Source organism: Homo sapiens, chromosome 13 (assembly GCF_000001405.40).
Source record: "Homo sapiens chromosome 13, GRCh38.p14 Primary Assembly".
Classification (NCBI taxonomy): Eukaryota; Metazoa; Chordata; class Mammalia; order Primates; family Hominidae; genus Homo; species Homo sapiens.
The window spans coordinates 110,206,817-110,234,045 of NC_000013.11; the positions used below are offsets into that span (position 1 = coordinate 110,206,817).

At 45.0% G+C, this 27,229-nt stretch overlaps 1 protein-coding gene across 2 annotated transcripts in view; it reads right to left on the bottom strand.

Annotated features, from left to right (window-relative positions):
* COL4A1 (collagen type IV alpha 1 chain) overlaps nt 1–27,229 on the bottom strand; it is a 158,195-nt gene that overhangs the window by 57,854 nt on the left and 73,112 nt on the right. For both annotated transcript variants that reach the window (NM_001845.6, NM_001303110.2), the window contains exons 3-14: nt 7,110–7,199; nt 6,966–7,010; nt 5,758–5,802; nt 5,601–5,663; nt 5,053–5,106; nt 4,831–4,857; nt 3,313–3,396; nt 3,164–3,226; nt 2,576–2,611; nt 2,033–2,074; nt 587–673; nt 49–75 (exon numbers count right to left, since the gene is read on the bottom strand). In NM_001845.6, the coding sequence (NP_001836.3) occupies nt 49–75; nt 587–673; nt 2,033–2,074; nt 2,576–2,611; nt 3,164–3,226; nt 3,313–3,396; nt 4,831–4,857; nt 5,053–5,106; nt 5,601–5,663; nt 5,758–5,802; nt 6,966–7,010; nt 7,110–7,199 (663 nt within the window). The remainder of the gene's footprint in view (nt 1–48; nt 76–586; nt 674–2,032; nt 2,075–2,575; nt 2,612–3,163; nt 3,227–3,312; nt 3,397–4,830; nt 4,858–5,052; nt 5,107–5,600; nt 5,664–5,757; nt 5,803–6,965; nt 7,011–7,109; nt 7,200–27,229) is intronic.

Below are 27,229 nucleotides of genomic sequence, written 5' to 3' on the forward strand. Positions count from 1 at the left end.
CTTTATGGTCTTTGACCTAAAAATGATAGGCAGAAACTGAGTACTGACCTGAAATCCAGGTTCACCTTTTTGGCCCTGAAAGAATTCGAGAGACAGATCAGCACTATCAAACAGCTGTATCATTTGTTATATGCTGCATTAAACACACAGCAGAAAAAAAAAAAACCTTTTTCTGATATATTAACAAAGAAATTCATGTTGATCTCCAGCACTCACTTGACATTGACTGGTATAAATGTAAGCAGGGCAGGGTTTATCATGCTTGACCCATGATGACTGGCCCTGCCCCCCTCCTGCCCCCCAGCCCAGCTCCCTCCTCCTGACCAAGCCATCTCCAACTTGGGGCACATTTAAGAAGCCCTGATCCAGCGGGGTGAGCCTCAGATCAGGCTTGGACCAATCCAGTTCCAGCTGTCTCTGCTCTCAAAGGGGCTCGTATTTTATGGACTGAACAGTCTATAAATCTGTTTTCCAGACCAGGATTGAATGTAGCTGGAAAAACTGAGTTTTGACCCATTTTCTCTTTATCTTTTGGAATTTGTCCAAAATTAGAAAATCAGTATTCACTGATGAAGCCCACTCATACCTTTTCTCCCTTGGTGGCGAAGTCTCCTTTTTCTTGAACTTGAGCTTGTCCTGGTACTCCTGGAGGCCCACTGACCCCTTGGTCACCCTGTCGACATAAAAATGTAAAATTAATTAGGCATGAAAACAATTATGCAGACATGAAAAATTGCAGAGAGAGGTAAAAGCCTAAAATAAAACACCTATTTTTAAAATGTAATTATACTCTATTCTGTTCTAATCATCCTTGCCTCTGCAGAAAATCAAATTTCAATAGGAAGATGATACAACAAGTATCTAAACCCAGGAGGAGAATTTCACTTCTTCTATGGGTGGCCACTAGCTCAGGAATAACCATGGAATCTGAACACCTGCAAGACACCTCCGGACTTGCGTGCCCCTGTATAGTGTATACTGGCTTCTGATGGCACGGAGGAAAGGAATACAAACTACCTAATAGAGCTTGAGAAAAAAGAAGGCATTTTAGGTAATCCCAGAATAAGACAACCATCAAGAGTCTCCCTCCTCGGGCATCCTAACTGCCGGGTACGCCTAAAAATTACAACTGCATACATTTCAGAGTCACTATATTTCAAAGTTTATGAAAAGACTGGGCCAAAATCTTGGGTGGCAAGCAGAGGCCACCTGCACATCCAGATCCATCCAGGCCCCACTGTATTGGGCGCTCTGGTTGTAATTGCCTCCACCAGCTTGGATGTCAGAGGAGAATCTGGCCTTCCACAGGCTGGCTACAGCAATGGCAGGCATCCCTTCTTAGCCAGTGCCTGCTTCATTGGTCTGATCCAGGGAAACTCCTGGAGAGGATCAGGGACCCACCACTTGCCTCCTCTCTGCAGGATGAAGCCACCTGCTGTGTGGTCTGTGCCCTCCCGGCTCCACACTGCATCTCCTCCCACACCCACTTGGTCCTGGACCTGCCCACCTCTGAGAAGAGAGGCCGGTGGTGCGGGGCCACTGCCAACCGTGCTAGTCCTAATTCTCCTGGTGGTGGCCCTGGACATGCCCGCCTCTGAGAAGAGAGGCCGGTGGTGAGGGGCCGCTGCCCACCGTGCTACTCCCAATTTCCTGGCGGTGGACTCCCGCTCTGCAGGGCTTACAGGGTTACTCATCTAATGGTCAAGTCCTAAATTTGACTCATAAATCCTAGGTCTGACCTCATCACTGACGAAGAAGAGTTTGAACTCTTTGTACAGATAATTGGAGTTAGTCTCGTTGTTCTCTGCTTGTCAGATCACAGAGCACTTCCATAAATTCTAGCGTACTGAATAAGCTAGAATAAATTCAATAATGCTGGCATTTTAAGGAAAACACTAACTACCAAATGCAAGAACATGCAGAGAAGAGTAACTATACTTGTAAGAGTCCAGACATTGATCCAAAGGTGGGAACTGTCAGGTGAGGACTGTGGTTTTCAACATGAAAGCACTCCAGAGCAATATGCACTCACCTTGTCACCTTTTGGTCCTTGAAAACTTAAGCCCATTTGTCCCTGTGGATTAAAAATTAGGCTCTCATTATTAGATTTGTCTACTTCGTTCAAAGTCATTCTACAAACCTCACACAAAATGCAATAAGATGGTAGATTTCAGGCAATAGCTTTGTCCCATAACTCTCATAAAATTTTCTGGAAAGTAACGATCATGCTGAATTCAATGTCTATGAAAAAGTTTTTAAAGTATGACTGATCAAAAATTCCAAAGACCTTTTTAAAAATTTACAGTTTTTAAACTCTTGCATTAGAAAACTAAGGGAAATATCAGTGTGATTCCAAAGTATTGACTAAGGGATGGATGAAAGAAAAGATCAATATATTGATAGATAATCAATAGATAATAAATGATATATGATAGATACTTAAAGGTATAGTTAGATATAGTGTTAATTTTCCAACTTTTTTTTAGAGACTGAAAGAATAAGAAGAGTGAGCTATAGCAATTTCATGATAGCCTTATACTAATGCCAAAGAACAAAAAATGAAAAGAACTTTTACCTTTTCACCTGGAGGGCCGGGAGGGCCTGGGGGACCCTGGGAGAGACAGCATTTTAATTAAATAGGATTCAGAACTCTAGGGAGCTTTAAGCCCTTCTTCAGGCTGACGTTATCTTAAGATTCTCTGGTCAACATGATAATTTATTTGTGAAATATTTTTCCTGGGCTTCCCCTCCCTCCCCACTCCTAGCAGGTGCAGGACCCTCAGGTGTGACCATACCAATACCAATCCATCTCCCCTGCTCCCTGGTGAAGTCACCTGGGGCACAGCCTGTCTGTCCATCTTTGAACTCACTCCCACAGGCTGTGACTATCAGCAGTACCCCGCCAGCCCCTTCAACCATGACTGCATTATTTGTTTCAGGGTATCAGTTTATGGTACTATCATCATCCCTTTCCCACAGCTCTGGGTATATGGGTACCGGGATGCCAGCCAAACGTTTAGTAAGAGGGAAGCTGATTCCGCCATGTCCAAATTAAGAGCGACCACAACTGTGTAAAGTTTTTACTAAATTATTATTTATTTTCAAACCTCAATATAGTTGTTTTTTAAATGATTGCCTCGGAGAGACAGCCCCCAAAACTTACTGGTGGTCCGGTAAATCCTGGAGGCCCAACAGGACCTTGAAGCCCTGGCAGTCCTGGTGGGCCCTAGAATGCATGAGAAAGAAATGAGTTCAGATGCGAACTGGGAGGGTGAGGTGGCACATGTTCATAATGATTCAGCAAATGCTTACTGGAGTCCCTGGGATTCCGGGAAATCCTCTTTCACCTTTCAACAGCATCCCGGGCACATGGCCAAGTATCTCACCTGGATCACCCTAGAGGATGAAGAAAGAAAATAGAAAGTTGCAAATATCGACATTCATGTAAAGAAGCTGAAAACTCTTTGATAGTTGGCATATATTAGTGTTACAGGACTAGCCTAAGTCTGGGATTTAGACCCCGTCTACACTGGAAATCAATAGCCTGGCCATCTCTCCCATCATGATTGCCGTCTTAATGGCCAGCGTTAACCACTGCCTGGTCAACTGAGCCGCAGCCGGGACTGAATGTAGAGACGGCAAAGCAAAGGGGTCTGCCACACTGCCCGAGGACCACCCCCAACTCTAGACAAGGGCCCTTGTCTCTGGTTGAAAGACTACTGCGTGACCACAGGCTCTCCTCACAAAACAAGAATTCTCTTTTGAGAAAAGGCTCAGGATGAATACTTTTATAAAAGCACGGCGTAATGGTAAATTTTATCTGCCAACTTGGCTAGGCCACATTATTGGGTTAAACACCAGACCAGATGTTTCTGTGAAGGGATTTTTAAAATGAGCTTAACACTTAAATCAGTAGACTCTGAATAAGGCAAATGGCCCTCCATAATGCTGGTGGGCCTCATCCCATCAGTTGAAGGTCTTACAGGATAAAAGACTGACCTCCCTGGAGGAAGAGGGAATTCTGCCCACACACCACCTTCAGACCCAAGACTACAACTCCACCCCTTCTCTGGTGTCTGGCCTGCCCACCTCACTCTGCAGGTTTTGAGTTTGCCGGCCCCCACAATCATGAGAACCAATGCTTTAGAAGCAGTTTCTCCTCTCTCTGGCCACACACACACATGCTCCTGGTTCTGTGTCTCTGGAGCATGCTAACACACAGGGCTATTATGAGGATCTATTTCCTACGTGTTCTGAATCACAGGAGCGAGCACAGGGACTCTCACCTTCATCCAGGTAAGCAGTTATCTCTACTGCAGCTGCTGAGACCTGTAAGCCTCCCTTTGACAAGGCTGATCCCAACATCCAGATGCCCGAGGTCCCCGCCCTGTGCCCAAGCACAGCCGACACATTACATGACTGCACAGTCTGAGGTCGGGCTGATGCCAGCAGCCGAGCCCCAAGACATCAACACCCCGCCTGGGAAAAGCTGCCCCAGGTTCCCTCCTGGGAAGTCTGAGAGGCACCCAGGGAGCCCCATTCTCCCATCTGCCTCCCCAGTTTGGGTGAAGTGAGCCTTCGCCACCACACCAGGCCTCCTTCCGCTGCTTATTCCCCATTAAGAAGCTGTGCCAAGTGTCTGAACGTTAGAGTCTGAGATCTGAGTTTGTGGGTTACTTGTACAGTCTTTTCATGTAACAGAGTTTAGGGAAGTGTGTTCAGAAACAATCGATCAGCCAAAGTGGTTTAAAGAGAATGTGCTTCTATGGCACTTGTTGTAAACAGATTCCCTGTAATGAATCCAATAAAGCAAAATAAAATAAAATGTACCTTCATCCCTGGTAAGCCTGGTGGTCCCTAAAAAAGAAAGTTTTGGTGTTAGTTTTGTTTTTCTCAAAATATCATTAGCATTAAAATTGTTATCATGTAATATTATATATAAAATATAAGTTATTAAAACATAAGCAAAGAAAGAAAGAAAAGGAAATGGAATGAAAAGAGAGAAGTCATAACTAAAAGAAAGAAGTTCTGCCCTAAATAACCTCTACTCACGGGATTTCCAGCGAAACCAGGCAAGCCAGGAGGCCCGAGCGGCCCTCTCTCCCCCTGGGGAGACAGCAGAGCATCATTCATACGCACTGTGTGTGGCAGACACATCAGCCCTGACATCGCATGCATCACTCTGCCCTACCCTTCATTTGTTGGTTAAAATCATTTCCTAAAAACAGTTTGTCACAAGCTGTGCTACTGGGTACCACTTTATGAAAGAAGAAATAGACTTGATAGTATCATTAATAGGGACAAAGGCCCATAATGGCATTTTCTTACGTGATGTAGTAAATGATTATAGGTAATAACTTTCGTGCTTAAATGCAATTTTAGGATAAAAGTCTACAAAAAAGAAAGGAACAATTATATCTTTCTGGTACACTAAATATGGGAAAACTGTATTTCCTTACTAAATAAAGCAAACTTTAAGACAAGCAACTTTCCAATTGTGGCAAATAAAACTCTATTAACAGAATCACACTACCTGACTCCTTAATATGCAAAAATTACGTAAACACACACAAAAAGGAGGGTCTCGGTTCTGGATTTACCTTTGTGCCATTGCATCCTGGAATACCTGGGGGGCCTGGCGGGCCGTCTTGGCCAGGAATTCCCTGCAATGAAGAAAGTGAAAATGTAACCCAGGCAGAAAATCGCCTGATGGAAGAATATTTCATAAAAGAAGTAGAGCACGTTTTCTATACATACGGGAAGTCCTGGGTTTCCAGGGTAGCCAGATGCTCCCGGAGGTCCCTGTGAGGGCGGAAGTAAAAGCGTGTCAGTGAAGAGCCGGGAAGCCTCACTTCCTCCTCCTGCATCTCCCCGGTTAATGGAGTCATGCCCTCATTTTTGGTGTCAGAACACACACAAAGCAGACAGAGCACTCTGCACAAGAGGCAGCAGAGGGCACAGCCTAGGGCAGATGGCCCAGGCTTACAGGAGCAATGCTACACCCAAAGCACACTACTGCCATTCGCCACTGCAAAGATATGGAACCAACCTAAGTACCTACCAACCAACGAGTGGATAGAGAAAAGGTGGAATCCATGCACCATGGAACACTACTCAGCCACAACAAGGAACAAAATGATGTCTTTTGCAGCAACTTGAATGGAGCTAGAGGCCATTATTCTAAGTGAAGTAACCCAGGAATGGGAAACCAAATACCGTATGTTCTCACGTATAAGTGGCGTCTAAGCTATGAGGATGTAAAGGCATAAGAGTGATACAATGGACTTCGGGACTCAGGTGGGGGGAAGGCTGGAAGGAGGTGAGGGATCAAAAACTACGTAACAGGTAGAGCGTACACTGCTTGGGTGACAGGTGCACTAAAATCTCAGAAATCACCACGAAAGAACTTATACATGCAACCAAACACCACCTGTACCAAAAAAAATTGAAATAAAAAAAAACAAAAAAATAAGTTTTTAAAAGCTGACTGCTGATCCCTTCAAACATAAGGCTGCCCATGCACAAAATAACTCTGCTCCCATTTCATCATTACTAAGAGGTGGAGAGGAGGAAGAGCAAGGCTGGCTCTGAAAATACCATGACTTTTCCATTAAATGAAGTCATCTCTGTCTAATGACTGTGGACACATCATCAATTGCCCCTTCCCCCAAATTAAAAAATGCCCAGAAGAGATTCCTGAAGAAGAACAAATGGGGGAAAGCAAGTTTGCAGAACCAAGGACTAAGGAGCTCAGCCTGTGCACAGTCCCCATGGGAAGGACTGGGGCTCAGGGAGTCACGGGCTGCTCCTCACTGCCTGCCTCGCGCCTGCCTGCCCGTGCTGTGTGAGCTGGGAGAGGAGATGGAGGACGAGGGCAAGGAGAAAGGAGGGAAAAGGTGCCCGGCTCTGGAAGCGGGCCTGTCCCACGCATGGAATCATCGATTGTGAGTAGCAACTGTACTCACTCTTGTCCCTTTTGTTCCAGGTAGTCCTGGTTCTCCAGTATCACCCTGGAACAGAATAGAAATGCCATTGTCATTGATCACCGCTATCTCAAGAATGCGGGCAATCTTACATCCACCCACCCCCAATCCCACAGCCGTGCTTACCTTTTGTCCTGGTGGTCCCTGTGGCCCCTCAGGTCCTTGCATTCCAGGAAACCCAATGACACCTTGTAACCCCGGGAGGCCTCTTTCACCCTACAGAAGAGGAACATCAGTCAGGCAAAAGGCAGCAGTAAAGAACAGAGGAAGGAATTGGTGACCAACTGTGATGGCTATATATATATTTTTTTTGAGATGGAGTCTCATTCTGTTGCCCAGGCTGGAGTGCATGCACGATCTCGGCTCACTGCAAAGTCCACTGCCTGAGTCAAGGGATTCTCCTGCCTCAGCCTCCCGGGTAGCTGGGATTACAGGCGTGCGCCACCACGCTGGCTAATTTTTGTATTTTTAGTAGAGGCAGGGTTTCACCATGTTGGCCAGGCTGGTCTCGAACTTCTGATCTCAGGTGATCCACCCACCTCGGCCACCAAAAGTGCTGGGATTACAGGCATGGGCTACCACGCCTGGCCCGTGATGCCTAATTTTAGGTGCCAAGTTGACTGGGTCACAGGATAATCAGAGAGCTGGTAAAGCATGACTTCTGGATGTGTTTTTGAGGGTGTGTTTCTGGAAGAGATGGGCATTTGAATACATGGACAGTAAGGAAGATCTGCCCTCACCCAGGGTGAGCAGGTGTCATTGTTAGTTGAGGCCCGGATAGAACAAAAAGGCAGAAGAGAGGCCAATTCTCTCTCTTCTGGAGCTGGGCACCCATCTTCTCCTGCCCTTGGACATCAGAACTCTGGGTTCTCTGGCCTTCAGATTCAGGGACTTGTACCACTAGCCCCTTGGGCTCTCCAGCCGCTGGCCTTGGACCCAGTTACACTTCAGGAGTCCTGAGTTCCCAGGCTTGCAGGCGGCAGATCATGGAACTCCTCAGCCTCTATAATCCTATGAGCCACTTCCCATAATAAATCTAAGCAGCATCCAGCCTTGCGCAAGTCCACAGTGAGTGTCTGGAAACAGATAGCAACGACTACTTCAGGTGGTTTTGCTCTACTGTGTTTTAAACTCTTGAGGGCAGGAAATATTTATATCTCATTCCTAGCACAATCCTTTATATGTACTTAATGCCAAATAATTTCTTGGGTAAATAGAGTAACAAATAGCGAGGTGTTTTTCACTGAACTGGTTATAATTTCGCTCAATCAATGGAACTCTCTTGTTAGCAACAGCCTCAGTGCTGAGATTCTGTGATGGAGCCTCCAAGACGTCTTCCTCTTTAGAGACCATTAGGAGATGTGGGTGGGCAGAGTCCACAGTGTGCACCTCATGCAAGATGCTTAGCCTCCCTTGGGCCATCATGGGGTGATGGTGGGCTTTAATGAGAAATGTCTTTCAAGAGTATTTTTTGGGCTGGGTGCGGTGGCTCGCTCATGCCTGTAATCCCAGCACTTTGGGAGATAGAGGCGGGCAGATCACCAGAGGTCAGGAGTTCGAGACCAGCCTGGCCAACATGGCAAAACTCTTTCTCTACTAAAAAATGCAAAAATTAGTTGGGTGTAGTGGTGCACGCCTGTAATCTCAGTTACTCAGGAGGCTGAGGCTGGAGAGTCACTTGAACCTGGGAGGCAGAGGTTGCAGAGAGCCAAGATCATGCCACTGCACTCTAGCCTGGGAGACAGAGTGAGACTCTGTCTCAAAAAAAAAAAAAAAACAACAACCCATAACCATTGTAAGAAATCAAGAAAACCTATTTACTTTACAGCATGTGGACTTCAGTGCAGCCTTACCATACGAATTGGGTAGATTCAGTAACCATTGTTAGCTGATTTAAAAACATAAGGCAGACAGTTTGGAGATCACAGGCAGGATTACTTAGTGTTCAGTGCCTTTCTCAAAGTTGCATTAGTTGAAAGTAAAAATCAACCGACAAGCTACACACCACATAACATAAACATCCAAAGTCGTCCTTCTTTCCAAACCACTCAGCCAGTCCTGGCACTTAACTGGTGAATTAACTGCCTGCTCCATTTTTACAAACGCAGGAAGGACGTTATGAACCTGGGACTCAGCCGCCACACCTCCATAGAGCTGTGTTTCGTTGAAAGGATATGTCAGGAGTCTAGACACAGTATGTGGATAAATATGGGAGAGATTGTTTCAAACCCTAAAGAATTGAATCAAACAGTAAATGGATTAAAGAACCTCAAGCCCCATACTGTGGCACTGCCCCTTCAGGCCAGCAGCATCCAGGGAGTCGGCCAGAAGCACAGACGTGACTCCACGAGGGCCCTGATCCCAAGGTTTGACAGGGAAGGCTGGCTCCTTCTCCCTGAGGCCTGTGACAGTGAGGAAGGAAAAACATTCCCAGACCAGGACTTGTTCAAATGAAGAGCTCCTTAAATACACCCTGCAGTGATGGCCCCAGGACACAATGGCAGAAAATCCTGCTGTAAGGAGTTACAGTGCACAAGGTCACCAATCTGGGGCACCCAGTTTTCGGATATAGGAAAAGTCTGCTCAAACCAGAATAGGACTGAACTCCAAACAGCGGCTAAAATAAATAAATAAATATGGACTTGTGTAGCCCCAAGTAACCCAACATCAGACAGGAAGGAAATGAGAAAGGCAGGTCCATGTAGAAGCTTTCTAATACATTTGGTGGAGTATTTTTAGTACTTAATTAATATGGGCAGTATCGCCATGAGACCAGCGATGATAAGATTTTATAATTCTCAATTTAACCATGGAATGCACTGAGGACCAGAGCCAGATTAACTGATTTCTACAAGTTTCTCACTGAGTCAGCACTACAGCCAGAAATAGAAATGAGGTCAGCCTCCACCATAGTCCCTGTTTTTTCTGGGTCACTAGAGCAAGCCGGTTCCCAGCAGAACATCAAACAATTCACCAACTTCATGTCAGCCCAAGGTACCGACCCTTCTATGTCCATTTCACAGATAGGGAAATTAAGATTCCGATGCTTAACTGACTTGTCGTACGTCACTGGGTGACCCCTCGTGCTGCTGGGAACAGAACACAGAAATCCAAATTCCCAGACCTTGCTTTTACCGCAAGAACACATTCTTTCCCAAATGTCACCAGAAAGTTTAAGCAATCTGTGTATCCCCAGAGCTTTGAAATGAAGGAGCTAAGAAGGAAGTGACTCCTCCATGGACATGGTTCTTGCCATTCCCCACATATTTTTTTAACGTTCTTAATCTTTTGTCCAGATAAAAGTGCACACGAATAATCTAATACTCTGTACCCTGTCCAAGGTTATTATGGGAACCAGAGCAGAGCAAACGGACAGAATAAGCACTTAAACAGCTATACAGTTAGCTGGCGACCAGCATGCAGTATGGGGCCAAATTATTCCTCCAAGATTTTAGCACATTTCCACCAGGATTGTAAGAAGAGCAAAGAGCTGGACATGTTGTGCAAAGGTTATTGGAGCTAGCAGGGTCCAAGCCAGACTTTGCAGCTGCAACTGGCAATGCTACTAACGTGACCACAGTGACCCCCCACTTCCACTGGAGCTCAAGGCAGAATGTGCACAGTTAGAGTCAGGGAGCAACAGGACCCTCGATCATCTGTTTCCCATGGTGTGCTCAAGGCAAGGTCCAAAAATCCATGGCGGCCACAGACTTCATGTCAGGCAAAAATGAAAACCACAACCATTGTCTGTCACAGCAAAGACTATTTAAAATGGAAGAAAGAAACGAGAAACTTGAAAAATACTACACAGAAAGTTTTCGTGCAGCTGAACCTTGTGCTCTCATTCCTGAACATCAGTGCAATGCAGAGCACTGATCAAAAAAGGAAAATCATACGCCAAAGCCGGAGATGACTACTGCTGTGTCCCCAAATGATGAAATTCAGAATTTGTGGAGGGAGAACAAAGTGCCATTGTCTATAAAGATGAAAGAATACAACATGGAGAATAATCTTAGCACCAAAATTAGGCATTGTAAATTAGGCATGAAATAGGGTTTCATGCATGGAGCAACTTAAAATTCTTGCTTAATGCATTATCTAAAGCAAGCATATACTTTTTAAAAAATCCTTAAAATGCGTGGATAGAAAGTCATTTTATAATACCCAATTATTTCCCTTCCTCTTCCAATGCTTGTAGAAACAAGTTCATGATTCAGGAAAGCAAATACTCTAATAAGCTTCCGTCATAGCTAAGTCAGAAATTCAAATACAAATCAAATACCCAGGACAGCTGAAGTTAAAATAGCATGAAGCTTCTAAATGTGGGGGGAAAATATAATTACCAACAACAAAAACTGATGTTAACACAAAATATACCTAGAATAAGCAGTCATCAAAATTCTTACTGTCAAAGGCCTGTTTCAGTGGCTGACATGGAATCCATATCTTTAAATCAAAATTTTAATGGATTTTTCCAATCTGAAATATTAGGATCACGGATCTTCACAATGGACTGAAGCACACACAGAGATGCTGCCAGCTCTCGGGGGCTTCCTCTACGCACGGAATGAGTACGGGTACCGGGTTTGGTACTGAGCACTGAGTGTACTGGGTATGGCAGCCTCCATGTGCTGGGTGCATCCAAGGGAAACAAGCAATGCTTATCAGGGAAACTGCAATTCCTTCTCCACCTCAACCCTGTAACTTCTTCACAGGCAATGAAATTGTTTTATTCATTCATGGTGTTTGAATTCAATAAAATGTCATGGGATGCTGAACTAGCCAATTGCATAACATGACGCTCAGCATGAGGTAGGATTCCACATACGAATCCTAAAAACTTTAAGAGGTAGTGAAAGGTTACTGGGCAGGACAGGACCCCCGTCGCCTTTGCAGTCCAAGCATTCTAGGCACCATTCCAGACTGGCTGGAGTCCGCAGCAGTGGCTGAGAGGTGCAGGGCAAGCTGCGTTCGGGACCACGATGGCCCTGCTGCTGCTTTCTGTCATCTAGCGCCTCGAGATTTCCATTTACGAGCAGACTGCAAATCATTCAGGGAATGAAAGCCCTCACATTTGAAGCCAGAGCTCACCAAGTATCCAGTGAAAGGGAAATGATGTCAAGGATGGGTCACAGTCAGTGGGTGACTGCAGAACTCTTTCCGAAATTCCACAAGGCCAACTCCTTGAGCCCAACCACCATCAGAAGAGACATCAGAAGAGACATCTGCAGGACCATTTCCTGAATGCCGCCGCTGGGAAAGGGGTGGGAAAGCTGCGGTGGGTGCCGCGGGGTCATGGAAAACTCTGTGGCGAGGCCCCGCCGGGAGCTCCCTCCACACCATGAGGCTTGACGTCAGGGCAGGAATACTGCCACCACAGTTTGAGGGGGGACAGATGCAAGGAGATCCCCTAGAGGGTCTGCTTTGCCTAAGAGGAAGGCGTGAGTGCTCACTCTCCTTTGCTCTATGAGACATACAACTGAACTCTTAAAAGGATGTATATGTGTTCACTAGAAGTATGTGAATGAAATTTAACAGTGTGGATTGTTGCACTTAGCAGCTACATTTATCATTACTATTATTTCTTGCATTTAAATATTTAACATTAAAGCAGCAAAGATTAAACCAATCATGCATAAAAAGCGTGGCTGCAAATCTGTATCTTCTTCCCGAAATTCTCATTTTCTCCCTCCAGCCCAGACGTCTAGCTTGAGACAGTGAATATCAGGAAATGTGTGCAGTGGCCCTCCATCAACTATGTGGGTATACGCAAGAGCTTGAGCAGCACATACAGACGCACCTCAGCTTATGATGGGGTATGTCCCAATAAGCCCATTGTAAGTTGAAAATATATATATATATGTATATATATATATATGTGTATATATATGTATATATATGTATATACATATGTGTATATATATGTGTGTATATATATGTATATACATATGTGTATATATGCGTATATATGTATATATATGCGTATATATGTGTATATATGTATATATGTGTATATATGTATATATATGTATGTATGTATATATGTGTATATATATGTATATATGTGTGTGTATATATGTATATATATGTGTGTATATATATGTATATATATGTGTGTATATATATGTATGTATATGTGTGTGTATATATACACATACATACATATACATATATATATATATATATTTGAGGCAGGGTCTCACTCTGTCACTGAGGCTGGATTGCAGTGTTACTATCTTGGCTCACTGCAACCTCAGCCTCCGCAGTAGCTGGGATTATAGTAGTGTGCCACCATGCGCCGCTAATTTTTGTATTTTTAGTAGAGACGGGGTTTCGCCATGTTGGCCAGGCTGGTCTTGAACTCCTAACCTCATGTGATTTGTCCGCCTTGTCCTCCTAAAGTGCTGGAATTACAGGCGTGAGCTACTGCACCCAGCCCAATAGAAAATATTTTTAACTCAAAAACACATTTAATACACCTAACCTACCCAACATCATAGCTTAGCCTAGCCATCCTTAAACATGCTCAGAAAACTTAAACACTGGCCTACGTTAGGCAAAATGGTCTAACACAAAGCCTGTTTTATAATAAAGTGTTTAATATCTTGTGTAATTTATCAAATTCTGTATCAAAAGTGAAAACCAGAACGGCTTGTGGCTCCTGACTGGCATTGCAAGAGTTGCCTATCGCACAATGCTAGCCCAGGAAAAGATCAAAATTCAAAGTTTTTATCTTTTGAATTTTGATCTTTCAAAATCCATGACTTTCAGATATCATGAGAGCTGTTCTATTTCTAGGAGACTTCGGGACTTGTCCTGCCTCTTCTAAAGCACGTGGGGTTGTTTGGGCAAGTTCCTCATTTCATGGGCCTCCACCGTCCTCCTTCTGACTATCATTAGCTTGGTTCTGACTACTCCCAAGGCTGCCGATGATGGAGATGAGCAAATCTGTGTGAAGAATGGGAGAGAACTCAGTGCTGGAGTCTCCTGGCCGAAAGAACAGTGGCTGGGGTCTGAGGGGTGGGAGCTGGGCTGGATAAACTAGAAGTGAAAATGCCTTCCTCCGTATGGCCAAGCCTGGACTACAACTTTTATACTGGACTTCTGGCCCCAGGATTCTTGAGTGGAAAATCCCAAGCCCTCACGATAAGGTCCATGTGATGAAGAAGGTCCACCCTGTGCTCAGCGAAAGCCTGCCTGCAGCTATAGCATTTAATGCAGAATTGTCTCCAGGTGTCCATGTTCAAGGAGAGATTTCTATTGGACAAATCCTGATGTTGAAACATTATCTGAGCCCATGATGAATTCTGGCACAATTCTAGGCTCAAGTATTCTAATATGAATTTTAACATTCACTATGAAGTTGACTGACAGAGCTGAACACTCAAGTCATATGTAATCCAAAGCTAGAAGGCGATGGTTACAAAGGAGATGCACAGTGAATATTTCTGATAGATCCACATTTACAAAGAAATAAAACCATAGATATTTTCTGATCCATGAAAATCCACTTTGCACATCAGCTTAAAAGAAAAAAATGAATTAAAAAGAGTCCTTCAGAAAATACTTTCTAAAGAACTATCATTCAACACAAGAATAACTCAAGGGGGCCCTCAGTATGGTCTTCTTATAAACAATTTAAAAGTTCCCCGAAAGCCATCCAAAAGCAAACAAACCATCTGACGTCCCCGATCCAGTAAAAATGTTCTAGGAGAACTGAGTGCTGATAAATTACTGGCAGCCAAAAAAAATCTTAAAAATTTCCAAAGGTCTTTAAATCTTACCAAAGTTCCAGACATTTGTCCATGATGAAAGTGGAGACTCACTCATGGAAGCGCACAGTAAAGCTGTGAGCAGCAGCAAAGGTCTCCAGAGGCAACTATTATCTTCAAGAGTTTTTTCTTATCTTTTTTCAGAAAAAACAGTCCAAAATGCTCTCATTAATTCTTACTCCAAAGCAGTACTCCGTTTCAAATATTGTTAAACAGAACCATTTTAAGTCAGTCCCCCAGAGCAGTCAGATTTCCACGTTGGAAAGGAAGAAAAATATGATGATGATCTTTTTCCAAAGGCTTGTGAACCTGCTCAGTCAGATTCCACGTGTGCCTGCGCTCAGGCAGCGCGTCTGTCATCAACAGCTTAATTCCGTTTTCGCATCAAACCACACCAGCAGACAGTGCGTTCTCTGGAAACACTTGTATTTTCCTGGCTCCGGGCTCCATCAACAACACATTCAAATGCCCATGTGAAGGGCCAAGCTCCTGGTCGGGGCGTCCGTAGACACCCACCCTTCATCCACCTCCAGGCACCTGCGACCCACACAGCAGCACCCCAGGGCCCTGGCACCCCTCAGCACATTCGAGAGCGCTGCCTTCATGTGAAACAGGCACATTCACACCCTCCCCGGCGGGCCCTGGCACCTCAGACACACCCATGGGATCTCAGCCAAGCACCCCCTTGTTGAAGAAGTACTCAGACACTGAATGATCTGGAGAAAACCCAAACTCTGGCAGACAGTGGATCCAGCCCGTGACAGGCCCGGGCGGAGGAACCAACGGCCTCAATCAGGGCTTGGGTGAGGAGTCTCCGTGGGCTGCAGCTGCTCGCCACTAGAGGGAGCTCTGGGACTATACATTTTCCCCCAAATAAACTAAACCTCCCTGGTGGACCTTAAAGAATTAAGGCTTTTTCAGGCCGGGCGCGGTGGCTCACGCCTGTAATCCTAGCACTTTGGGAGGCCGAGGCGGGTGGATCACGAGGTCAGGAGATCGAGACCATCCTGGCTAACATGGTGAAACCCCGTCTCTACTAAAAATACAAAAAATTAGCCGGGTGTGGTGGCGGGCACCTGTAGTCCCAGCTACTCGGGAGGCTGAGGCAAGAGAATGGCATGAACCAGGGAGGCAGAGCTTGCAGTGAGCCGAGATCGTGCCACTGCACTCCAGCCTGGGCGACAGAGCCAGACTCTGCTTTAAAAAAAAAAAAAAAAAAAAAAAAAAGAATTAAGGCTTTTTCCTAAATATTCATTGTAGTAATATATTACTATTAAAATATTAAATATTCAGTGCCATTGAACACATTCTGTGGGCGGAGTGAGAGAAATCACTTTGATATGGCCTAAAAGAACTCTATGGTAAATATTTTTAATTAGGATTCAAAATTTAATTAAAATTAAATATAAAAACTAGTAACCTGAATATCGAGGCTATTGCGTTACAGGTAAATGCGGTCAGCCTATAAATAATGAGAATGATGGATATTTTCTGGATAGCATTTTCACATCCATTTTATAAATTGGGAGAGTATTTGAATCTAATGACAATACAGAAAAAATAGCAAATTCAATTTTTAAAATAGCTGTATGGAAATAGAAAATACTGAAAAAATTACATTCTACAAAGCATGCATAAAATAGATACAAATGTAATCACAGGGAGGTCTCTAAGAAACCACTGCTAAACATCCCACTGCCAGTAAAACTTATGTAAAGGTTCTTCTTTGGTCTTCTTCCACTATAAGTTTATAGAAAACTTATGCATTAAGGTAATTTAGTCCATTCTCCTGAGTTTTGCCAATTCTAAAAGAAAAAAAAATCTATCCAGTTTTTTGGATCCCAAAAAAGATGATAACATTCTCTCCTTTGCTTAACCTATCAGCATGAACACTCATTAAAACCAAAATCACAGATGCCTCTTTCTAAACCTACTACCTAACATTCTGTTTCTCAAATATATATTTTTAAAAACATCTTCAAAACGAGAAAAACAGTACAGAAAACAAGTGTTCTGCTACAGGCTTGGAACCTCACTTGCTGCAGCTATGGACGGTGTGGATGGTTGTGCATGTTGCACACTGCAGCAATCAGAGGCCAAAATCAGCCACCGAAGCTAGGTGTTGGCACAGCAGGAGGCCTTTATCTAATATGACAAAGCTGGAAAAAGCCCAGTGGTAGCAAAACCATCCTCCAAATAAGTTGCACAGAGCTCTCTGGGGGTTCCTGCCTGGGTGACACCCCAAGGATGGCAGGACACACCAAGCAAGAGGCAGCCTCCGTGTAGACTTTAGAGGCTTGGTACTGACCTGCCAAGAGTTGGGAAGCCAACTGAGGAATGTCCCTCAAGAGAGCCCTAACCCAGGGCAGGGGCTGAAATGCCCAGTCACCACTGCCAACACTTTGGTTAACTTTTGGTTTTGGATTTTACTTACTCCATTAAAAAAAATATATATGGAATACTATCCTCAAAGACCTAGAAATGCACATGGCATAAATGAATGCTTCCAACTTGAGCTCCAGCCATTGCAGGAATGATCACACTTAGGAGGTGCTGAGAGTCTGCACATGAAATCACGCCTCTGCTCACCAGCACAACCGTCTTTTTTTTTGAAGTTCCATGAAATTTATCACAATTCTAGGTCATGACTTAGTTAAAAGATTTGGGGTAAGAAGAAAGACTGCAGGAACATAAATAATTGATAACAAAATATCAATAAGAGGTTAGCTCTCTTCTGAGTTTGTATAAGAAAAAAATATATATGTTTTTGAGATGGAGTCTTGCTCTGTCATCCAAGCTGGAGTACAGTGGCATGATCTTGGCTCACTGTAACCTCCACCTCCCAGGTTCAAGCGATTCTTGCGCCTTGGCCTCCCAAGTAGCTGGGATTACAGACGTGCACCATCATGCCTGGCTAATTTTTGTATTTGTAGTACAGACAAGGTTTCACCATGTTGGTCAGGCTGGTCTTGAACTCCTGACCTCAGGTAATCCGCCAGCCTCGGCCTCCCAAAGTGCTGGTATTACAGGTGTGAGCCAACGCTCCTGACCTAATTTTTTTTCTTATAAAGACACTTTGCTTTATTTTCATTAGCTCCAAAGCAAGGCCCCTGAGGGTTCGAAAGACATGTTCTACATTAACAGAAATGTTGAAAAATGCCAATTAGTGCCTAAGTACTTAGACAGCCGAGGATGTTATTAACGTGAACTTAATAATGTATGTGGGTGTGGGGCAGCGTTGTGGAACAAAACGAGGACACAGCAAAGGCAGGAAACACCACAAGGTAGGTGATGGATTTTTTTTTTCTTTTTTTGGTCTGTGATAAAAGTAAACTTGAAAATTGCAGATGAAATACTCTGAAGATAAGAATTATAGTTAATAATACAAAAGCATGCAAGACAGTCTTCAGGTTTAAACCTTGAGAGAATTGCTCATTGGCAATTAAGAAAAACCTTTCTTTTTTTTTTCCTTAAAAATGTGTTAGATATAATTATTTATCAAAATTGGGTTTTACAGGTGCCCTGCCAGGGGACATCCAGGGTCCCCATCCTCTGAGTGGTTCCGTAGTCCCTGCGGTTCCCTTGCCAGGGTGTGCAGAGCCGCGTACATAGCACCTCCAGGAGATGCTGGAACCCAGCAGGCAGTGACTGGCATTCCCTCTCGTTCCCTCCCCCCAGCACTTCGAACAGATGGCACAGGGTAGGTACTCAATTAATATTTTCACGACTGGGCCGGGTGCAGTGGCTCACGCCTATAATCCCAGCACTTTGGGAGGCCAAGGCGGGTGGATCACCTGAGGTCAGGCGTTCAAGACCAGCCTGGCCAACATGGTGAAACTTGTCTCTACTAAAAATACAAAAATTAGCCCAGCGTGGTGGCACACGCCTGTAATCTCAGCTACTTGGGAGGCTGAGACAGGAGAATCGCTTGAACCCAGGAAGCAGAGGTTGCAGTGAGCCGAGATCATGCCATTGCACTCCAGCCTGGGTGACAGAGCAGACTCCATCTCAAAAAATAAATAAATAAATAAACAAAAATAAAATATTTTCATGAGTGACTCAGGAAAGATCCCAAGAAAATGATATAAATCTACAAGAGGGTGCAGATTTAGGAATCTTAATTTCAAATGACTGCAAAAACAAGCACCTGCACTCCGGGTGAGCACGCGGAGCTCCGGGCGCCCTGCTTTTCATGCTCTCTCTTCAGTCACTGCATGGATGGGCAAAGAACCTAAGCCTGGAATTCTGGTGCTGGCTCCAGCGCCAACCCCTGGGACGCTCTGAAAATCAGCTTTGCCATCATCTGTAAGTCAGGGATGACTCCACCTGCCTGTTTTACCTGGCAGCATTATTTTAAAAATCAAACGTGCTCAAGTATTCAGTTAAATGCTGTACAAATGGTTCTGAAAGAAACTGGTCTGACTTCACTGCTTTTTAAACACGTAAATATTTTGTGTTTATTCTCACGATTTCTATGTCCAACAAGCCAGCTGCATTTCCTCTGAAGCCACAGAATGTTTTAAAAGAGAATGAAAAGGCCACACTGCTAGTGTTCCCACAAGTCATGACCCAGGAAGTATCTCATTCCTGTTTTTGTGGCTAAGACAGACATAAGAAAATTGGAATTTCTTGAGTATTTAAAAAAGATGACAGTTTCAAGAAACTCCCCCCTTTATCTTATACTCAAGGTTTTGTGTTTTTTCCTTAATAAATATCTCTGTAATTCAGGCAGTTCAAGCATAGAACATTCCATTTATTCTGTCAGGTCAGCCTGGGTCTTAGTAAAGCCACCACACTCCTCCATGGTTAGCCTGGAAGTAGCTAACGACATACACCGGTCTGAAATCCCCAGATTACTTCCTTACCCCCAAGCAAGTTACTTGTCTGTATCTTATCACTGATAACATTTTCCCCCAGCATGCTGCAATAATTTCAATACTCCATTAATCATACTTGGAATCTAAGAGATAAGAACAGTTCCCTTGACTCCCAGATATACAATTGCCAGGTTAAAACTAGACAAACCAACTTTGCCCATAGAATACAAGGTAATCTCAGCAGAGCTGGAGGTTTTACAAAACCCACTATTAGCCTAACCTCATTAATTTGAAAAAGCAGTAGTGAGATCAATCTAAATTAATAAATAACTGAATTTTAATCTCTTTTAAGTAAACACCATTAATTCCTTTAAAACATATACAGTCACCCAAAGAAAGAAATTAAGCCAACATCTTGAAGTTTTTTCTTTTGTGTTTTGCTTAAAATCTTGGTTTTAAAACTGAATAGATAAGAAAAGCATATAATTGCAAACTCAATGCAAAATACCGGTGCTTAATTAAGACAATAAATAGCTACTTCATAAATACTTAAAAATGGTCTTCCCTGAGCTGCTAATCTCTCTTCACCTCAATGCTCTTCATAAAGTTGGCAAGCCTGTTTTCAAAAGATAATATGGAGATATATTTCAATCCAAGGTGTGGCCCAATTATTTAAAAATTTCTATCAGTAAGACCTTATTTAATGCCATTTTCACTATGCCTACTTTGTAGACGTTTTAAAGATTAAACTTACAGTATCATTTCCTGCCTTTTTTTCTTAACTACTTAATGTCAATAGACTAAAATATTGAGATCTTCGGCTAGAAACTAAGATGTGGAAACAGACCAACTGGGTTACAGTTTGCAAATTATGAGGTATAAACTTTCTAATAAAAATAGATTGTAGAGTATATAAACATGTTACACTTTCCCACGTATATGGATTTTTTTTTAAGTTACATCAATTGGGCGATAGATGACCAAGTATGGGTACGGTAGACACACACACACACACACACACACACACACACACACACAAACACACACAAACACAGAATCAGAAAGAGAGAGAGAAACGAAGAGACAGAGACAGAGAGACATAAAGAGAGAGAAGCTTCACTAAGAGGCAGGTTGGGGGCACCTGGTTCCCACGCCCCCAGACCTCCCACTCCCAGGGTCTGAGGTCTGGGACACATCACTGAGGCAATTTGTCTTTGGCAAGAGAGGGCCAGTCAGCCATGCACCCTGAAATGGCCTTCCCTTGATTCCCAAATATACAATTGCCAACTTGGTGGAAACTGAGCTCTCATGGGAATTCTAAACCTACAGGTGCCCACCCTTGGTTCTCCACAGGGAGAATCAGCACGTTCTGTGAAGAAACAGGGAAAGCAGTCATCTTTTTAACAACTATTTGATATTCCACATAAATATCCTGCCGTGGGTTAGGCCCAGAATTTTGGGATAACAAATCAGGCAAGGACAGGGAGGCAGCCCTGTCTCGGGTCTCCGGGGAGGCCCGCTGTGGAGGAGCTGATCCCAGAGCCCTTCCTGGTCCCTGCGGTCCCTAAATACACCCTCCTGGGTGGAGCTACACCTCGCTGCACACACAGTCCTCAGGTGCCCATTTGAACGTCACCCTCGCTGGGCAAGAGGTGCCCGGTGACAGGTGGGAAAGGGATGCACAGGGACATACACGCGCCTTACAGGACTCAGGAAGCGCAGCTGGGCGGGACCATCGCGGAGCACCTGCCAAGCCACGTGCTTCTGCAGTAAAATCACCCACATGCTTCCAGAGCTGACACCCCGCTATCAAGCACAGGATGCCCCTGAGGAGTGGTGGTGCGGGGGCGGGGGGGGGGTCTACATCAGGAACAAAATATTGGACAGGATGGAAAAGAACATGTGTGTTCTTCTCTGTCACTGGGTGAAGCAGATTCCTTTAAAAATCCAATTTTGAAGGGCACATACTGAGTAGCTTCCGTGCAAGGCAAGTTTTTAATGACTACCCACTTCCGGGCCTGTCACTACCCACTTCTGGCCCGTCGCACCCAGCAGGCGGCTCCTGCGCCCCCTCCAAGTGGCAGGGAGAACAGGGAAGCCTTGGAAGGGAACACGTGACCCAGAATGCGAATGAGCAGCCTCCAGGCTGGGGGACTCTTCTTTGAAACACAGGGAAGACACACATTTAGGATTAACGATATAACTTCCTAAAGGCAAATGAGTGAGACAGGAAAGGAAACGGATGCTTATACCAACTCCCATGTTCCTAAATTATCATCTATTTCCCCCTCCCTTTGGGTTCACGGCCTTATCCAATAGGAAGCCCAAAGAAATGGCATCTGGTCAATTGTCTCTAGAGGAGGACAGAAATCAGAACAGCTAGTTAAGAAAGTCAGGCAAGATTTAAATAGAGTGACTTCAAGTACTAGCGTCCACTTCACATGCCCAGATAAAATGATTTTAGGAATAAAATATGGAGAATCAAATTGATTAGCGAATGGAAAAAACCACAGACAGTGAGGAAAATGTAACAAAATTTCCCAGCTATGATTGCTTCAACTTGGAACGTGATTTTTCAGAAAAGAAAAAGGGGAGGAAAACCAGATGGCATTGGGGATTCCACAAACTTTGGTTTTCCCATCAGCAGATGTGAAGAGACAGGGAGGATGAAGGCACATTGGCTCAATACTGCAGAGTCACCGCTCCCCTTTCCTCAGAATACATCACCGAAAACATAGCTGACACTGAGGAAATGTCTGCTTGTGAAGTAATCACCCATTATGGGCCTGATCTTCCTTCACTTCAAATGAGTGGACAGTTCTGACATGTACTGCATACCAAAGTTCTTTTCAGTAAAATAGCTTTTGCTCTAGAAAGGCCAGTAACAGTAGAGTGTTGAAGTACCTCCAGCTTCACAGGAAAGATCTCAACTCAGAGGACACTAACATTTAGAAGGGTTTTAGAGGTCAGAGTCCCAACTCTTTCCTCTTAGGAGGTTTTCAACTTTAAATCTGAATGACTCGAATTTTTTCACATTGAGAAATTTCCAGCCAATTACACAGTTACTTAAACACAGCTGGGATGCATTTTGTCGCCACACATCACTGTACGTGTCCTGCATCCCAGGATAATAAAAGTGCTGTGTTCTGAATGTCCATGCCCCGCCCCAAATTCCTGTGTGGAAATTCTAACCCCCAAGGTGATGGCATGGAGGTGGGGCCTTGGGAAGTGATGAGGCTCATGAACAGAATTAGTGTTCTTAGAAAAAAGACCCCAGAGAGAGCCCCCGCCCTCGCGCTGCCTATGAAGAAGGGGTCCACAGCCGACCTCGAATCTGCTGGAGCCTTGATCTTGGACTTCCAGCCTCCAGCACGGGAGGAACACACTTCTGCTGCTGAAACCACCCAGTCTGTGGTATCCTATTACAGCATCCTGGGGAGACTAAGAGGAAAAGAAAAAGCCCTATGCCTCTGCCCTGTAAAATGTCAGTAATTTCCTTGGGCCCCACTTCCGACGTTCACCCTCTTGTGGGTGACTTCTGCCGGCTGGCCTTGGCTCTCACTCCACGGTAACTGCCCTCCCAGCTTGGCCCACCAGCTCTCCTGTCCCCTTCCACAGCATCAAATCCACACTGAGTGCCCAAGGGCAGCACCCTCCAAAATCCCCCACTCAGGAAAAAGGAGCAGAACCAAGCCCAAAACAGGTGGACGAGGAGGGCTCCATTCAGGCCACGTGGTGGAGGGGGAGGGCTGGGAGGTTCCTGAAGAAAGTGCGTGTGTGTGTGAGTGTGTGCCCGTGGTGTGGGTGTGCACGGTGTGTGTTCCATGTATATGTAAGTGGTGTGTGTGGTATGTATGTGTGTGTGGTGTGTGTATATGTTATGTGTGTGGTGCGTGTATATGTATGTGTGTGGTGTGTGCGTGTATGTGATATGTGCATGCACGTGATGTGTGCATGCACACATGTGAAGTAGAGAGGACAAAGCACACAGGTGGCAGGCGCGGGTCATCAGGGCTCGTCGTGACACCCTGGAAAATCACACAGGTGTACATGAGCCCTGAACAGAGAGAAAGGAAAAGTGGATGGGAAATTGTGGTGGGAGGAACAGAAAGGGCAGAAATTTTATAAAGGGAAGAAGGGTAAAGGGGGCGAGTGAGGTGGGACGGGTGGTGCACCTCCTCTAAGACCACGGGGAGCCTCCCCAGCCTCCTGCAGAAGCCACTGCACCTCCGGCCCCCACCACACCCTGCCCAGGTCCCTATCAAAGGCCCCCAAAGAAGAAAACACCACTCTGCTTTCTGCCCCAGTCACGCCAGCGTGCTGTTCCTCACGTTTGCTGGAAGTCCCCCCGTGGTATGTTCCTCTGCCCTGACAGGCAGGACACCTGTGGAGCCACGGTCTCCTGTGAAGAAATGCAGGTTCCACGTGCAGAGGCGGAAGCAAGGAGGCCTCCAGCCGCCCGGAACCTCTGCTCCCAGGGCTCCTGATGTGTGGTCCAGGCAGGACAGGGCACACCCGTTTACCCAGGGCCTCTACATTCAGATTCAGGGCAGGGCACCCAGCCCCTCCTCCCAATCAGGAGGCAGAACCCAACACCTGCCACCCACATCAGCCCCGTCAGGATGATTAATGACGTTGCATCCATAAAACTCCAAGAACCTGGAGACAGGGTGCTGCCTCCCAAAGCCCTGACTCAGAAAAACACACAGCATTTCCAGCCCGCGTGGTGAGGAGACAGTCAGTGTGGGAACAAGATCCACCGAGGTGCCTCTTGCCCTTGCCCAGGACATATCGATGAGACTGGGGAGCCCCACATGGGGACACAGAGAGTCAAACAGCGACAAACAGTTTCACACTCATGGAGATGTGTCCTTTAACATTCTGGAGTCTTGTACGTGGAAGTGAGAAGGGGGAGGTGAGGAGGCACAGTTGTCCATGGACATTTCTCAAAGCACCAACATTTCCAAATCGGGAAAAACCTGACGTCAAACAGGGAAATGGAATTTGGAGGCGTAAATCATGGGCCACCGCACCTGAGCGGCTGCCTGAGCTTTTGGGGCCTGCGAATGACCGTTCGGTTTGCCCTTCCCTGCCCCCTGCAGATCAATTTCTTCCCATTGGACATCCATTCTCGCAGCCGTGCCTTCTCCCTCCCTGGAGGTCTTAGCAGAGTGTTCACTTGGGGGTTCAGTTGTGCTATTACTGGCTAGCATCTTCCATCATGAACCTGTAGGGCAGGCTCCAGGACTGCCGCTGGCCACTACCCAGGCCCACGGGTACAGCAGGAGCCCACAGGACAAGGAGGCACTGGGATGAGTGGACATTGGTTCTCCAGCTCAAGGAATTTACTGGCTCTACTATAGACAGATGTCATTCCTTTACCAATCTTCTAGGGAAAACCACTTCAAAATCAAGCATGTCACCACATGCCACAGACTTGGGTACTCAAGTCTTAGGGTTGTGGATTTCTCACCTAGGAGGGCAAATTAACCTAAGGCCCTAACATGCTACAGCGGGACGCCCACAGAAAATTCTCTGGTTAAGTCCTCAAGCTCTAGCAAGACGTGTGTAAGAAATTCACATCTATCATTCATTACCTTCAGGTATTTGTCCAAATATCTAATAAAGGAGAAACCGTACCAAGGGTCTTTAACCCTTCTGATTTCACTACAGCTTTTTAGAAATTAGCCAGGAATCACTGTTAGCTTCTCGTGTCAGATTCTCATGTGAGGAAATCCAGAATCATTGAATTTGGGGCCAGTTAGCATTAAACTCATAAAACTATGTGACGAACCAAAGCTAAGCTATATGAAGTATACTTTTACCATGTTTAATGGATTTGCCAAAGGAAGAAAAATCTGACAAAGGGGCACCACGTCCCCAGAGCCATCTGGTTTGCTCGTTAACTCTGACTAATTCTTCCTTTGTTTAATTGCACATTGTGCTAAACCACTTCACAAGGATGAAGGTCTGTTAATACCATTTTTGAGCGTGCAGTTCTCCACACCCACACTACCTAATTATCTAGCATCACAACTTGCTGTCTAGAAACGTGTTTGAATGCTCAAAATATTCTACCAACAAACAGGAGGAAAATCCCATTGCCCAGTTTTCATTTGTCAGGGTTTGTTTTATGTTAAGTCTTTGATCTTGAATTAAAATATACACTCTCATTTTGCTCCCCTGAAAAGAAAGCTATTTTCCTGCCAGCCAATGTTTTGTCAAGATCATATTTACAAAAAAATATTTTTTCCCATAAATAGTCGGGACAGAGGCTGCCGGTGCTGGGCCACACCAATGACAGCCTGTACTCCTGGAGAGTGCTCTGGGCTTTAAAAGTCATGGCATGTGATCTGCCATTCGAGATACTTCATTTTCTGCTGCTCCTTCTGAACTTGGAAACAGAATCGGCTCCCTATTTTTAAAGCTGCACTAGATTCGGTAAGCTCCAGATACAGCTGCAAATCAAGAGCCATCAATTTGTATGATGGTCTCTCCTGAGTCTAACAGGTCCCACAGCGCATGGCAAAAGGGCAGATTTTACGGTGGGCAGAACTAGGAAGTGGAGCTGGAAACGAGAATGTGCAGCTCACTCTCCCTGTTCGGGAACGGGATGTGTGTGTATCAGTGACGTCCAAGGCATAGGGGAGCCAGCGACGGGTGGGCCTCGTGTGCAGAATAAAATAAACCATTTAGCATAGATCTGCTTCCAGGGGCTTTTCTAGGGTACATTGTTGATATTTTACCCTTGAATTCAGGCATATTTTTAAAAAAATTCATTGTTTTCAAAGAACTATCAAAAAAGACAAAAGTAGGTGAATGTGGGAACGCACACTGATCACATGGATTCTCACGATTCCTCTGCCAGATGATGATTCATGTGCGGTATGTGGAAATAGGAAATAGGGGACATCTGGAAAAAAATCTTGGCATTGCAAACGCCAGACAAAACACGGAAAAGGAAAAGAGAATGTATTCTATTAACCCATTTAGCCAGCCAACGGGAGGGGAGGGAAGACACCCTCGGGTCCTGCAGATGAGCCTGAGTGTCAAAGTCAGATACTTTGGGGGGTGGAATCCATTAGATGGCAAAAACGAAGTGATATCTCACGCATGTTCCCCTTTGAATAATAGCTAGACCAAGCAAGGCTGGCCGATGGGAGGGAGGAGTCTGGACGTTGGTAAGTACACGCACATTGGGAAAAGCTGTTGGCAACAAAAACTCGCAGCGGTATTTGGAAAAGTTGGGGAGTTGAAGAAAAGGAGAGTCGTTTTCCTCACATTTTAAGGGGTAATGATTCCGGAAATGGATGATAAAACCACAACGTTGATTAGAAATTTGGATGGAAACTGCAGGCAGACCTCCCAAGTGAGCCCATCTCATTTTCCCTCCACCAAAAGCATCCAAAAGCTACAAACACTACCTAATGGCCCTGCCAAGATTCTCAAAACATTCTAACATCCCTTTAATTTAGGTCCTGGGAGCGCTTCTGTCACGGATGGAACAGGTCCATTTCTCTGGGTTTCCAGGCTTCACCTGCGGATTGCAAATACTTAGCTGGATGGGGATCCATGTCTATGTCTTTCTATCCATGGATCTGTCTAGAGCTGAGCTAACAAGCACATTTTCCTCACACTTATTGCAACTTCAAAATGC